The sequence below is a fragment of the Homo sapiens genome, chromosome 9 (assembly GCF_000001405.40).
Source record: "Homo sapiens chromosome 9, GRCh38.p14 Primary Assembly".
Lineage (NCBI taxonomy): Eukaryota > Metazoa > Chordata > Mammalia > Primates > Hominidae > Homo > Homo sapiens.
This window is the reverse complement of record NC_000009.12, coordinates 20,365,292-20,381,420: the sequence shown is the minus strand read 5'-3', so window position 1 is coordinate 20,381,420 and position 16,129 is coordinate 20,365,292. Positions and strand designations below refer to the sequence as shown.

The 16,129-nt window shown below is 37.6% G+C and overlaps 1 protein-coding gene across 2 annotated transcripts in view, besides 3 other annotated features; it reads left to right on the top strand.

The window, feature by feature from the left end:
• Positions 1 to 16,129, top strand: part of MLLT3 (MLLT3 super elongation complex subunit) — a 280,831-nt gene that overhangs the window by 241,079 nt on the left and 23,623 nt on the right. For both annotated transcript variants that reach the window (NM_004529.4, NM_001286691.2), the window contains exon 6: positions 15,677 to 15,752. In NM_004529.4, the coding sequence (NP_004520.2) occupies positions 15,677 to 15,752 (76 nt within the window). The remainder of the gene's footprint in view (positions 1 to 15,676; positions 15,753 to 16,129) is intronic.
• Positions 4,248 to 4,297: an enhancer, noted in NCBI's record as "active region_28226". NCBI's record gives its function as "activates an Ori minimal core promoter by ATAC-STARR-seq in GM12878 lymphoblastoid cells {active_cell/tissue: GM12878}" and the evidence as "EXISTENCE:reporter gene assay evidence [ECO:0000049][PMID:35858748]".
• Positions 4,248 to 4,570: a biological region, named in NCBI's record as "Sharpr-MPRA regulatory region 10870".
• Positions 4,276 to 4,570: a silencer, noted in NCBI's record as "tiled region #10870; K562 Repressive non-DNase unmatched - State 24:Quies". NCBI's record gives its function as "represses a minimal TATA promoter and a strong SV40 promoter by Sharpr-MPRA in K562 cells {active_cell/tissue: K562}" and the evidence as "EXISTENCE:reporter gene assay evidence [ECO:0000049][PMID:27701403]".

The window sequence follows — 16,129 nt, the reverse complement described above, 5'->3', positions numbered from 1 at the left end:
CTAGAGAAATATAACAGTTATGGAGTTTTATATTTGGAATATCGGAAAGCGTGCACATTCTTCAGCAGAAATAAATTTTCCTGGAACTACATTCAAGGAGAATTTGTCATGTGGATGTCTATAAATTAAATGCAATCACATGATGTCCAAATAGTTAATATTATATGTAAATGTTGTATATGAATGCTAATCCCGATAAAATTGTTTTTCTGATGCACTAAAACATGTTGCTTCTACCCAAATGTGGAAATATCTAAAGGTTTAAAATACTTTGTTGGAGCATTTTCTTTTGAGATTTCATTTCAGCACAATTTCAGAGAAAACAGAAGCTGATCATAATAAGTTCCTTTTATTCTAGGAAGAGTCATATTTAGTATATTATATTTTAGAGCAATAAGTGGAGCCTTAGTGTTTCTTTAAAGCTAGTCTCTCCCCTTCCTCCTGCCATTGCTCAGCCCATTCTCAGAGAATTCTGCAGTTTGCTCAGTTCATCAGGAAGATCATGAGACTAATAACATCAGTATTTCTGGCTTTCTTTCGCATTTTTAGTTTATAAGAAAACAGCACTTTCCAGTCTAATTTGACTTTCAAGTTTCCAGCAGCCAGCTAGAAAAGAGAATGTACTCTGTTACGCATTTCACATTGTTCCTAAGATAAAAACCAATCTCTTAGGAGATGTTTAAGTCAGATGAAATTAAGTGAAAAGAACGGTCTGTGTTTTCTCCTTGCTTTTCGGTCTATGGTGTTTAAGTGTAGTGGATAAAAGGTAATAAGCAGCCTTTACTACATAGGAAGAAATTGGAATGGCAGGTTACAACTAAATGTGTTGAAGTTTTAAAAGCATCCATATTTGAATTGTACGTGCAATTGTGTGTGGATAGTAAGGTTTGTAGAACTGAATAATAATTCCTGAATAATGATTCCACAAGTAGGAATTGCTCCTGTTTTATGAAGATTAAAAACAAGTTAGGCCTTTAAATCATTCTTGAGATATTTGAAATTGAATGAGTTTCTGAGGATCAATTCAGAAACGATCCCTAACCATCCCCTAAGAATGCTGTAAATCATGTGTGCTGTTGTTCTAATTGAACAGTGTGGATCTGGACCCTCACTAACTTGTCTGTAGGAAGAGAAAATTGAAGAGAGAGAGGAAGAGGCTGAGGAGAAGACCTTTACCGGTGCTGTCCTGAGCTGCCATTGTTGAAGGACATCCTGTGAGCTAATTTCAGTCCCATTTTAAAAAAAATCTGTTTAGTGATTAGTAACCAGTGGATAAGAGTAGAAAGCCCAAGTGAATAAAGGCCGTAAATACTGAAGTCTTTGGGATAACAGCCTGTAAAACTGTCAAAAACCATTGCTTAAGTGACAAAAGATAGCCTGAAGTAACAAGAATGTTAGCTCACTGGGCAATACTACATATTCATGAACGAGGAGATGTAATTTAGTTTTCTTCAAAAATAGAGATTCTTCTTGAATCCAGTACCTGCCTCACTTCATTTATTTATTTGTTTTGGATGGTGTCTATTTGTTTTAAGTTTATGGTTAACTGCTTTTGCTAGTAGGAGTCATGGTGCCTGTTTAAAGATAGCTTTGTTTCCAAAAGTGGGACTCTGATTACTGAAACTTCTGTTTAGATCCATCAAGATCTACTTACTTGTTAAGAATGTTAAGCCTAACTGGAGTGAATGGGTGAGTATGTGTGTGTGTATATTTTTAAAAGGCAGATGGTTAGGAATTAGATGCTGAAAAGTACCTTCTTATTGTTTTTAAATTAAAACCTAAAGTTTGTAATTCTTAAATATTTCTCCCTAAGGGGAAAAATTAAGTAAATAAAAACAGAGGAATGTTAAGTCTATATTGCAAACTGTTTTGTTATTCCTGCACAATATTGAGACTCAAATGATTAAAGTCTTACTAGCCAGTAATTTAGATTTGTTTTTAGGGCTAGAGAAAATTCAAGATGATGAATCCAGTGTCTTTATTCTAAATTCCAATTGTTCTCACTATGATGATGATTTGGGGGCTTTTGGGGGACAATCTAAATTCTGTGTTCTTTAGTTTTGTGGTATAACCTCTAAATCCCAAATGTATGTTTTAGAGATGGGACTTCAGTGTATTTAAAGTGTTGTGCTTCTTCAAGTTAGAGAATTTTATCAAGTTAGAGTATTTGCTTTTCAACGTCCAGGCTGTGAGAACTAGAGGTGTCATTCATTTCAAGGGAGCAGATGTTAAAGGTTCTTGCCCCTGCCTCCCTAATCCCAAATACCCTTGAAGAAGAGAAACGTTCTGTTACCCAAATAGGCATCTTTCTGATGGTGAGAAAAGGCGGTAAAAGGCAGTAAATCTGCCTTCTCATTATGAAGTGCAACAATAGATTGATTTATGAAGAAAAGCAACTGTTAGGCTTATATAAGATGTGTGCATGGAAATGCAGGTTCCTTTAGAGCCTTATAAGCAGCAGCATTCCTCCTATTCTGGACAGAAATCTAATATTACTAATCAGGAATATGTGATTCTGAATACCACATTTTTAAAGGGGCTACATTGAGAACACAACAGAAGAATCTACCTCCTAAGTTTTCACATGAGGGCTGTCTTGTAAATGTAGCATGTTTTTGCTACTTTAGTTCATTTTCACTAAGATAGAGGGACTTCTTAAAATAGATATATTTTTACAAACTTTTTATTAGGACTTAACATTTTAAATAGAAGTGAATGTAAGTATAGCACATTTAGACTGATTATAAACAATTTCACTTAATATTGTATAATTTTCTGTAAACACTATAAAAGCAAACTCTAAAATAGAGCCACAGATAATTTCAAACTTCTAGGGGGATTATGTAAAGTATTTTGTGTTGGGTTTTTAAGAAAAGCTATGTGCACTTCAAAATCTTTTAAATAAGTTTGTGTTACCTCTTCTTCAATAAGGAACTCTGTGTACAGTATAAATATAAAAAGTAAACTTTTAAGCTCTGAGTTTGATTGTTATAAAATACTGTAAAATGACAAAAATCTGGATGCTCTCTGTGTGAGTTATAATGAGACTGTCCTGTTTATTTAGCATGTATCACTCCAGAGCTTGAAATCATGTGATATAATTAAGATTTGAGCAGGTAAATTACAGAATTAAAACTTACAGAGTTGGTATTACAACTCATCTCTCCCTGTAAACCTGTATCCCCAATGTATGTACATTTCCAAATTATAGTAAGCCAACATATTATGTACAAGAATAAGTTATGCTGTACTTTCATATTATGTACAAGAAAACACATACAAAAAATTGAAAATTTAAAAGTAAAAGACTAATATGAAAAGAGGTCTTGTTATTTTCTTTTACTACTATGTATTATCTTACACACATCTATGTAAACATATACATTCATACCCACACCCAAAGAACTTTGGAGTTCCTTGATCTAGATAGAGGAAAGAGCTCCAGTATTCTAATTCTATTGAGGAAGATATAAGGCTTGTAGAGAAATAACCCTTGCAACTATCAGTAGTCCTTGTTTCATAAGCTGATAATGAGAAAATGTTGCATTTTTGACCTGGTGAAGATGAGGTAGTCTTAAGTCAACACTTTTTCCCCAGTGGATTTTGGTTATATTAAAAGTCAAACTACCATGGACATAAGTTCTTAGCAAATAAAATAAACTCTTAATGCCACTGCCATGATAGTAAATCCAGGTTTCACATTTAATCGGGAAAATTCTGTAAGATAGTCCAAAGATTAAAATTAATACTTCTTGACATCTGTGTAAATCTGTAAAGATTATATTGGTGTCAATCAAATGCTTTATGAACATTTTAAAGTGACACATTTTTTAAAAGGTTAAAGTTAATAAGGAAATGTAGTTAAATGTCTTGTCAAAATAATCTCTTCAGATATATATCTTTTAGTTATTTCATTTCATTATCACCTTTATTTCCTGAATTCATTCTATTTAATTTACTTTATACTTTTTTATAATCCCAAATATACTTTAATATTTATAATCCAGTACTGAGCCCTGTAGCCATAATGTACTTTTTATGACTTTGTTCAATTCAGTGTTCAGTTCAATGTTGCCGTTATAAATGTTGAGAAGACAAAAGTGATTTTCCACTATTTTAAATTTCTTATGCTCTGCACAGGAGGGTTACTTCACAAGTAACTGAATAGTTCTGACAATAATCTCAAGATCTCATTGTAAACTGACAAGTAGTGGTGTTTCGATGTTCATTGGTCAACTCCAATAACACTTAATTATGGGCCAGTTCTATCAGGAAACTTTTTTTCCTTCCTGTTTCTCTTCTGTGAGGAATTACAGCTCTGAGCCCTCTCACTTGTAACATTTTTCTTTCTCTACCCGTCACTCTCAAAACACACAAAAGAGAAAGAGAAAACACAGCTAAAACATATGTCTTTGGCATCACAACTAAGTGGTGTAGTTAAAGGTCAGTTGTGAAATTCAACTTCTGTACATGTGAACTTTGCTCAAAAATAGTACTGTGTTTATAGGTGGTGTGACTGTAAGTGGTCTGTTTTCAGATGATTTCTCATTCTCAAAGCTCTTAACAAGGATCCTTCAGCCAGTGATCTTAGAACACATCTTGCAACAACTGGATTTTTTGAAAGAGCACATGTTCTGGCTACAATCGTAGCAGCCTTTAAAGTACAAATGGTGATGAGAGATAAAAGACTTGAGGCTCTTCTGCTTAAAAGGGAGGAAGCTGAAAGAAAATGATAGCCATCCCTAAGTGTGGAAAAGGGTCTTATGGAGAGATTTATAGACCCCTGCTCCCCGAGGCCATTTTATTTCCTAATGACATTTTCTATTCTCAGACAAGTAGTGATAAGTCCAAATGACAGCATTTAATAATAATAGTAAAGGTAATGATAATAATGAAGAAAGTGAATGTAATTGTAAAAACAGGCACCTCAATGCAAGCCAATTATCTTGGCTTCCAGGATGATTTTATATCTGTAAGTTGAAAATATAACAGAAATAAGGACGTTTCCTGTTTTGCTAACAGTTGAGAGGGTAATTCTCAGGATCTTGCTCTATCATCAGAAAATGATGGGTATAACAATAGCTTTTGATAACATAAGAACTCAAGAGGCTAAATATGATTCTAATCTAACATCAAATTCATTCAAGTTGTCGTAATACAAATGGAGAGCATCTACTAAAAAGAGATGTAGAGTCTTCTCTGTGGTTACAGACTTGAGTAGGTGTCTAGCAATAAAGGTTGCACTCTAGTGTCCTTTCCCCGGTTCCACCTTGTTTTGAAAGAAAGAGCTGTTAACAGCTTATTTAAAGCATTAAATGGTATTTTTTTCTTGGATATTATGGGATTTATATTGAAGAGTTAGGAAAAGAACGTAGATCACTTGAAGGTAAATAAAATATATGATTTTACTGTGTTGCCTGATGTGCTCATTGGTCCTATTAATGCCAGTCTCAAGAGGATTAGGGCAGTTCAGAGAAGAAACTTCCCTGTTTTCCTTTATAAAACTTACTGAAGTCCGGGCGCGGTGGCTCAGGCCTGTAATCCCAGCACTTTGGGAGGCTGAGGCGGGCGGATCACGAGGTCAGGAGATGGAGACCATCCTGGCTAACACTGTGAAACCCCGTCTCTACTAAAAATACAAAAACCTAGCCGGGCGTGGTGGCAGGTGCCTGTGGTCCCAGCTACTCAGGAGGCTGAGGCGGGAGAATGGCGTGAACCCAGGAGGCGGAGCTTTCAGTGAGCTGAGAACCGCGCCACTGCACTCCAGCCTGGGTGACAGAGCAAGACTCTGTCTCAAAAAAAAAAAAAAAGAAAAGAAAAAAAAAAAAATTACTGAAATAACAAGGTTCCTAGCCAGGATTCATTGTAATATTGATTGGACAAATGTTAGAAGCAATGGATCAGACACATTAACTCCGCTGGGATGAAGTGTTTTGTTTTACCACTGGTTTGCTTTGGGTGTGGATCAGAAGATGTACCTTGGGGACAAAGGATATTCCTTACATCTTCTGCAGTGACAAAACTTTCTTCCCTGTCCCTAATTTATAAAAGGGTGTTAGTATGTTCAGAACACTGCTTTAAATTAATTGCCCTTTTTCAAAGTTAATAGTTGCAGTACAAATAGCATTGGATTAGAAGTCAGAAAATCCGGTTCTAATTCACCTAAATATTACCCCCGGTCACTTAATCTTACTGTGTGCTTCAGTTTTATCATCTGAAAAATATTGATCTAAAATGCACCCTGCTATCTTAGTCAGCTTGGGCTGCCATAACAAAATACAGTAGACTGAGTGTCTTAAGCAACAGCAATTTATTTCTCGCAGTTTTAAAGGCTGGGAAGTCCAACAAGGAATCTGGTAAGGTCTCTCTTCCTGGCTTGCAGATGGCTGCGTTCTTGCTGTGTCCTCACATAGTAAGAAAGAAAAGAAGCAAGCTCTTTGGTGTCTGTTCTTACAAGGATACCAATTCCATCAAGAGGGCCCTACGTTCATGACCTCATTTTAAACCTAATTACCTTGCAAAGGTCCCATCTTCAAATACTATCGTATTGGGACACTGGGGGTTAAGGCTTCAACATGTGAATTTTAGGGTAGAGGGGGCATAATTCCTATCACTCACCTTACTAGTGGTAGTGCAAATGAAATAAGGAATATGATAGAGCTACACAAAAATACATTATGAGGTTAGAGTTACTGATGTTTGTTCAATCTCATTTTTATATATCTTTTTATATAACAAAGTTTTGTTCTTTTAGCATGTTTTTGAAGCAGTTACTAATGTAAAACCAAATGATAATAAAATTTCTCTTGATTCTGGCTTTTAATAATTCGCTAGTGCATAGATTGTTAGGTTAACATAAGTAGAATATTGTTTTATCACTTTTCAATACTTCTTTGTTTAAATTTGGCCTTACCTTTTATTGGCATAGCTATCTCAATATTTTACCCATTAATGGGAATTGGTAACATAGATTTCACTCATCTAATGGAAAGCATTTTTCCACAATTGTTTGGCATGGATGTTATGTATTTTATTTTGAGACAGAGACTTGTCTTGTCACCCAAACTGGAGTGCAGTGGCATAGCCGTAGCTCACTGCAGCCTCAAACTCCTGGGCTCAGGGGATCCTCCTGCCTCAGCCTCCCAAGTAGTTGGGACTACAGGGACACTTCACCAAGCCTGGCTAATATTTTTATTTTTTGTAGAGATGGGGATCTCACTGTGTTGCCCAGGCTGGTCTTGAACTCCTGGCTTCAAACAATCTTCCTGCCTTGGCCTCCCAAAGTGCTGGGATTACAGGCATGTGCCGCTGCACCTAGCTTGTTATGTTATTTTTTTAAATGTACATTTAAAAATTGAGTGGATTATTTTCAGTTTCCTACAGAGGAGAAACTAAATGAGGTGGACTTTTAAGTGGTTTTTTTTTTTATGTTAAGCAAAAAGAAAAGCTATATAATGTGTAAGGTGATTTTTTTTTTTAATGAAAGAAGGACCAAAACTGTGAGAAGAACCTAATACTTCAGTCAGGCATAATGAAAATTGAACAGAGAAGTAAATAAAGTGTCCTATATTTGTGTTTTCTTCTTTCATTAGTATTCATCCACAGTCTTTCTGGATATTTGTGAAAGAAGAGATAATCTTTATAGCAGGCTCTAGGTGTTCTTTTTCTAGGTGAGGTTTACATTTTATGAAAAGTTACATTTTCGTAATGTAACTAATGAGGTTACATTTTATGAAAAGTGTAGCAATGTGTCTGAAATCATTTCTGTTTAACTAGTTATACTGTACTCTTTCCCTTTTCACTATTTTTATTTTGATTGCTTTAAAGATCAAGTCACCAAAATTCTGTTCATAAATATAGTTGCCAATTAGAAAAGACAGAACTACTTTTGACATCTGTTACCTAAAGAGGAAGTATGCTCTTAGTACAGGATCAGTGCCAGCTTATGCAGGCCTCCCCTGTGATCTACCTTGACAGGTGCTCGCTTTTGAAACACTTCTAGTTGTAAACATGTGGTTTTTCTTACTTGTCTTGGACAAAAGTAATACTCTGTAGAAAATCCATTACAAAATGATTTTGCATAGCCATTTAATGTTGAAGATTGTATTGCAAATCCTGGTAGGCCCATTGTTTTGGTAGTAAAGATATATCTTGTATTAGGCAGTAGAGGAGTATGTGACCTATTGTAAATGATAGTAGCAATCAAATGTTGATTAGCTGCCATTAGAACAGCAGTGTGCTAGGTGTTTTTACTTTATTATATCAATTTAAGGTAATCACTTCTGTATGAGGTTCAGTGCCCTCACTCTATGAGCAAACTAATGTTTAAGCAATCTTCACCAAAATATACTATCAAGCAGTAGAATTAAGATACTTCAGCATATGTAGGCATACCTTCGAGACACTGCAGGTTAGGTTCCAGACAATTGTAATAAAGCAAATAGCACAATAAAATTAGGCATGTGAAGTTTTTGGTTTCCCAGTGCATATAAAAGTTATATTTATGCTATATGGTAATCTATTAAGTGTGACAGTATATATTACCTTATTAAAATATACCTTGTTGCCAGAAATGCTTACAATTTTCTTGGCCTTCAGCTAGTCATAGTCTTTTTGCTGGTAGAAGTTCTCGCCCAGATGCTGATGACTACTTATCGATTGGAGTGCTGAAGATATGAGTGGCTGTGGCAATTTTTGAAAATAAGACAATGCAGGCCAGGCGTGGTGGCTCATGCCTGTAATCCCAGCACTTTGGGAGGCCAAGGCGGGTGGATCACGAGGTCAGGAGATCGAGACCATCCTGGCTAACACAGTGAAACCCCGTCTCTACTAAAAATACAAAAAAAAAAAAAAAAAAAAAAAAAAATTAGCCGGGCGTGGTGGCGGGTGCCTGTAGTCCCAGCTACTCAGGAGGCTGAGGCAGGAGAATGGCGTGAACGAACTTGCAGTGAGCCGAGATGGTGCCACTGCACTCCAGCCTTTGTGACAGAGTGAGACTCCGTCTAAAAGAGAAAAGAAAGAAAGAAAATAAGACAATGCAGTTTGCTGCATGGACTGACTGACTTTTGCAAAAGATTTATCTGTAGCATGTGAGGTTGTTTGATAGTGCAGTAGATCTTTTAGAATTGGACTCAATTCTTTCAAACCCTGCCACTGCTTTATCGACTAAATTTATATAATATTCTAAATTCTTTATTGTCGTTTCAACAATGTTCCTAGCATTTTCACCAGGAGTAGATTCCATCTGAAGAAACCAGTTTCTTTGCTCATCCATAAGCAGCAACTCCTCATCCATTCAAATTTTATGAGATTGCAAAAATTCAGTCACATCTTCAGACTCCACTTCTAATTCTAGTTATCTTGCTGTTTCCACCACATCTGCAGTGACTTCCTCCACTAAAGTCTTGAACCCCTCGAAGTCATCCATGAAGGTTGAAATCAGCTTTTTCCAAACTCCTTTTAATGTTCATATTTTGATCTTCTCTTGTGAATCATGAATGTTCATAATGGCATCTAGAATGGTGAATCCTTTTCCAGAAGGTTTTTTATTTACTTTGCTCAGATATATCAGAGGAATCACTATCTATGGCACCTATAGCCTTACAAAATGTATTTCTTAAATAATAAAACTTGAAAGCCAAAACTACTTCTTGATTCATGAGCTACAGAATAGATGTATTAGCAGGCATGAAAACAACATTAATCTCCTTGTGCATCTCCTGCAGAGCTTTCAGGTGACCAGGTACATTGTCAATGAGCAATAATATTTTGAAACGGATCTTTTATTGTGAGTAGTAGGTCTCAACAGTGGGCTCAAACTATTCAGTAAACCATGCTGTAGGCAGATGTGCTGTCATCCAGGTTTTGTTGTTCCATTCCTATAGCGCAGGCAAAGTAGATTTAGCATAATTCTTAAGGGCCCTAGGATATTTTCAGAATACTAAATGAGCATTAGCTTCAACTTAAATTCACCAGTTGCATTAGCCTCTAAAAAGAGTGTCAGCCTATCCTTTGAAACTTTGAAGCCAGGCCTTGACTTCTCTCTAGCTATGAAAGCTCTAGATGGCATCTTGTTCCAGTAGAAGGCTGTTTCGTCTACATAGAAAATTTGTGTAGTGTAGCCACCTTCATCAATGTTGTTAGCTAGATCTTCTGGATAACTTCCTGCAGCTTCTGTATCAGCTCTTGCTGCTTCAACTTGCACTTTTATGTTACAGAGATGGCTTATTTCCCTAAACCTTATGAACCAACCTCTGCTAGCATCAAACTTTTTGTCTGCAGCTTCCTCATCTCTCAGATTTTATAAAATTAAAGAGAATTAGGGCTTTGCTCTTGATTAGGCTTTGGTTTAAGGAAGTGTTGTGGCTGGTGTGATCTTATATCCAGACCACTACAACTTTCTCCATATCAGCAATAAGGCTGTTTTGCTTCCTTATCATTCATGAGTTCACTGGAGTAGCACTTTTAATTCCATTCAAGAACTTTTCCTTTGCATTCACAACTTGGCTAAATATTTGGTGCAAGAGGCCTAGCATTTGGCCTGTCACCTCTTGACATGCCTTTCTCACTAAGCCTAATCATTTATAGCTTTGATTTAAAGTGAGAGATGTGTCTTGGTGCAGTGGCTCACACTTGTAATCCCAGCAGTTTGGGAGGCCAAGGCAGGTGGATCACCTGAGGTCAAGAGTTCGAGATCAGCCTGGCTAACATGGCGAAACCCCATCTCTACCAAAAATATACAAATTAGCTAGGCGTGTTGGTGCACACCTGTAATCCCAGCTACTCGGGAGGCTGAGGCAGGAGAATGGCTTGAACCCGGAAGGCAGAGGTTGCAGTGAGCTGAGATCCTGCCATTGTACTGCAGCCTAGGCAACAAGAGCGAAACTCTGTCTCAAAAAAAAAAAGATTTGTGGCTCTTCCTTTCATTTGAACATTTAGAGGCCATTGTAGGATTATTAATTGGCCTAATTTCAGTATTGTTGTATCTCAGGGAATAGGGAGACCCAAGGAGAAGAAGGGAGTTGGTGATTGACAGGTTGGTGGAGCAGTTAGAGATACACAACATTGATTAAGTTTGCTATCTTACATGGGTGCGGTTTGTGGTGTCCCCAAAGCAATTACAATAGTAGCATCAAAGATCACTGATCTCAGATCACCATAACAGGTATAATAATAATGAAAAAGTTTGAAATGTTGCAAGGATTTCCAATATGTGATGCAGAGACATGAAGTGAACACAAATTGTTGGAAAAATGGCATGATGAAGCAAAGGATGTCTATACTTTTATCACTGTAGAACATACCATTGAAAGAAACTACATGCATAGCATTTCATTACCCAGTAGGTCAGGTAAGCATGTGGTTAGAGGATCAGCAAGAAGTAGTAAAACATTTTTTTGGTGGTGAGAATTTTGATATTTTACAAACAGGTGTTATATTAAGAAGGGGAAAAAATCAGAACCTCATTGGACTTCTCTGAATTTTTGGTTTAGCATTCACACATGTGCACGCCCTACATGTATACAGACACAAGCACATATTTAAAATGTTTCTTAGGGGGTAGGGTGGGGAAAGGAGATTATTATATCTTGCAATCCTTAGGGCCTGTAAAGATCTTCATATAAAGATCTTCATATAACCCTGTTGATGATGATTTTTTTGTGTGTGTAGAGCAAGTGACCTTCTTTAGTTTATATAATCATCCTTGGTTTGTTTTTGGAAGATAAATGTGACATTTTAAAAATAAAATACATAACTCACAGTGAACTGCAATTCTGTTGGTTGGGCTTGATGAAATGTAAGACAGTGTCAGCCTCCTCTAGTGGCAGAGTGGCTCTTTGAGCAGTTAACAGGTGAATTCTGTACTAGGCAGATTAAGTTAGTTTAAGGTGTCTCCCCCACAACATGGTTGTACATGCTTCATAAATGTTTTCATTAAGTGGCAATTGCGTTCTTTCAAGCTGCCTCTGGATAAGTCAATTTTTTTCTAATTTTTCTCATGATATATATAGTCATGCTTTCTTAAATTTAAAATTCTTTCAAAAATGTGTTTTTGTGTGTGTGTTTAAGGAAGAAAGGCAGACTAATATAGAATCAGTGGCCTCATCCTGTAGTTTTCACCAGTATCTCTTGTGAGCTTTTTATAAAAATGCCTGGATCTCCACTATCAACCTATTAAATCAGAATCTCCTCATATATAGGCTTCTCCCAGCTAATTCTGTTGAGTTTCTGTGATTATCGGTCTCTGGGTCCTCGATCAGTGGTTCTCATCAGCATGGTTGGTCCCTGGACCTGCAGCATCATCATTACCTGTGATGCTTTATAAATTCCAGGGTCCTGTCCCACTCACCCATGTCCCTCAACCTACTGAATCTGTAACTCCTGGGTGGGGCTGTAGGCTGTGTTTTAACAAGTCCTCCTGTCATTCTGTTGTCCACCAAAGTGTGAGATTCACTGCCTTAGATCATTTTAAAGGTCTCATCTTCCACAAATGCTTGTTCTGTCCTGACTACTAAAAGCTTTCAGGACATTGCCTTGTTGCCCACTCTTCAGCATTTTATCCTTTTTTATCCAGCTCTTTTGCTTTAAACTTTCTACTTTAATGTCCTTGTAGAATTAATGTCTTTTGTTGTAAAACTTCTCAAATACTTTGTGGCAGAGGCAAGGTCTTAATCATAAATGATGAATAAAAAGCCCTTTTTCCTGTTGTGTTATGTTCCTATTTGTGGGTTTTTTGGTGATCAGCAACTGTGGAATTATTAACCTTATTTATGGGTAAGAAGCTAAAAGAAGCCTGCCTCCTGGTTTGGTTCTGAGATTGACATGATGCTTGAGACAAATGAGTAATGTTTCATGTGGGGTAGTTGGAGAGATGACCACCATCTTCTCTTGTCATCCTTGCTAATATCATTCTCAGCAAATAGCTCTGGCAGAGTGGCTCCTTTAAGTCCAATACAATGTGAACTGGCCAGGCAAGATGAGGAATTAGAGCTCTCTCTGCTCACTGTAAGGAAACCTCCTTTTCGGCTCCCAGATGGTTTCCAGAGCTATCAAAATAATATCATTTGCAGGCACTTTTCATGGCTGAAAAGAGCAACTTGGAGAGGAAGAGGAGTACTCTGCAAACCCTGGGAGAAATGTTTTACAGCTGGGCAGTGCACATAAATGCCAACTGAATGCTCTTTCAGTTGTGTAACTCGCCATTGGGGCTCAACAGTAGAAGAGCCACTCAACAGAAATGAAGAGTACCTTATAGAGCATTTGTACGTGTAAACCAACTTTTCTTTGTGACCCACAAACAGCAATGTGTAAGACATTGTGCTACAGTACTCAAGTAAATGTTACAGTGCTGAAGGGTTGGTAGGCCGCCTGCTGCTCATTAGAGATCCTGTCTGGCTCTTTTCCTGCAGAATGAGTGCTAGATTGCTGGCACCTGCTTTCCCATCAAGCCTGAGGATGTGAATTGTGCATTAGGAATAAAGTGTTTCCTTGTGTCCAAGTTGGTAGAGCCTGGTGCTACCTTGGGAGAAGGGGGTGAGAATTCAGTGCTGGAAAGGGAGATGAACAAAGCATTGGTGAGAAACAAATATAAACTGACTGAGATTCTCATCCTCATTTAGTGATTTCTGGTTGTGCTCTTAGTTTGTCCTCAAATTTGGTCACCTTGAATTAAAAAGATTTGTTCTATACACAGGAAACCACAAATATTCTCAAATATATAGTTAAGACTATGAGCATATTAAAAATAGGATGGAAATAAATTTGGTTATGAGAACATGACTAAGTTATTGTGAAATAAATTTAGCCTTAAATATGTAAAATTCAAGTTTGTTGGTATGATTGGTATATTTGCACACTTAGGTCCATGTGTGTGCATTGCCTGTCTTTACCTGCCATGGAATCTTTCAAAAAAACTGTGGCAGAAGGTGGAACGCAGGGCCTAATGTACCGTCTTTAGTCACCGATAAAAAGTGCCTCTTGTATACAATGCATTATGCTAAGTACAAGAGGATTACAAGAAGCACAAGACAGACCCCTAATTTTTCAAGTGCTGGCAGTCTACAGACTATCTGGGGAGCAAAGACACATCAGAGGCAGTGCAATACTGTTGTACCTCTAACAAGAAAACATGATACTTCCACTATATTTCAGTGGTTTTGGAGAAGGAAGAGAACTGAGTTGGGTGGGTCAAAGAGGATGTGGAACTTTCTGGTTAGAAAAGGATAAGGAGAATTCATAGAGCGTAAGAGATTGGGGTGTGTGTATGACACTCTTTCCTTGCCACTAATAGGTTGTGGAATTAAAGAGAATTTACAAAAAAACAATGGCGACATTTTCCCTTGACTCATTTGGACCTGTCTGGGTCTTGTTATGAATATTGGCCTCCATTTGTGAACTGTGGATGAAAAGGGTTAGGGTTGGGTCATGGCCTTGGGCCACAGTTAAATTAACTGGCTCATAGTGTGATTGAACTAATGACCTTAGCCTCATTACCACTATGTTTTAACCAGTTGAGTCAATCGAACATTACAGAAAGGGTAATCAAGGTATCTCTTAGAAAGACAGCTGTATTTCTCTAATGACCAGTAATGATGAGCTTTTTTTCATATGTTTGTTGGCCGCATAAATGTCTTCTTTTGAAATGCAAATCAAAACCACAATGAGATATCCTCTCACACCAGTTAGAATGGCGATCATTAAAAAGTCAGGAAACAACAGATGCTGGAGAGGATGTGGAGAAATAGGAACACTTTTACACTGTTGGTGGGAGTGTAAATTAGTTCAACCATTGTGGAAGACAGTGTGGGATTTCTCAAGGATCTAGAACCAGAAATACCATTTGACCCAGCAATCACATTATGGGGTATATACCCAAAGGATTATAAATCATTCTACTATAAAGACACATGCACACGTATGTTTATTGTGGCACTATTCACAATAGCAAAGACTTGGAACCAACCCAAATGCCCATCAGTGATAGACTGGATAAAGAACATGTGGCACATGTACACCATGAAATACTATGCAGCCATAAAAAGGATGAGTTCATGTCCTTTGCAGGGACATGGATGAAGCTGGAAACCATCATTCTCAGCAAACTAACACAGGAACAGAAAACCAAACACCGCATGTTCTCATAAGTGAAGAGTTGAACAATAAGAACACATAGACACAGGGAGGGGAACATAACACACCAAGGCCTTTCAGGGGTCAGGGGCTAGGGGAGGGATAGCACTAGGAGAAATACCTAACGTAGATGATGGGTTGATGGGTGCAGTAAACCACCGTGGCACATGTATACCTATGTAACACACCTGCATGTTCTGCCCATGTATCCCAAAACTTAAAGTATAATAAAGAAGTATTTTATATCTAAGATGAAAAGAGGGAGACCTGTATAGCAGTAAACGTAGGAGTGAAATCAAAGCCAGGCCCTTTTCTCATGTAACACCCAAGTGTTTATCTCCTCAAGTTTTTATACTTGTTTCTGCATCTAATAAAAATACAGTGGGCACAACAAAAGACAACATGACTCTCCTGTGTTAGTAATTTGACATAATGAAATGCATCACGGTTTTTGCAGAGGATGGTTTGAGCAACAATACTGTTTTCAACTTTAGATGTGTGGTATCCCGTAAATTTATTGATGGTGCCTTTTTATTCTTCTTTAAAGTCTGAACAACCCAGTCCTGCCAGCTCCAGCTCCAGCTCCAGCTCCAGCTTCACACCATCCCAGACCAGGCAACAAGGTATCAACATCTCATGCAAACTAGGAGATGCTTTTCTCATAAAACACCTTAATGGCACTTTGGGAGGCTGACACGGGTGGATCAAGAGGTCAGGAGATCAAGACCATCCTAGCTAACACGGTGAAACCGTGTTTAGTAAACGTCTCTACTAAAAATACAAAAAATTAGCCAGGCGTGGTGGCATGCGCCTGTAGTCCCAGCTGCTCGGGGGGCTGAGACAGGAGAATCCTTTGGACCTGGGGCGGAAGTTGCAGTGAGCTGAGATCGCGCCACTGCACTCCAGCCTGGGTGACACAGTGAGACTCCGTCTCAAAAAAAAGAAAACAAAACAAAACAAAAAAAAACCATCTTAATGTCTTGATTTATCACCTTATACT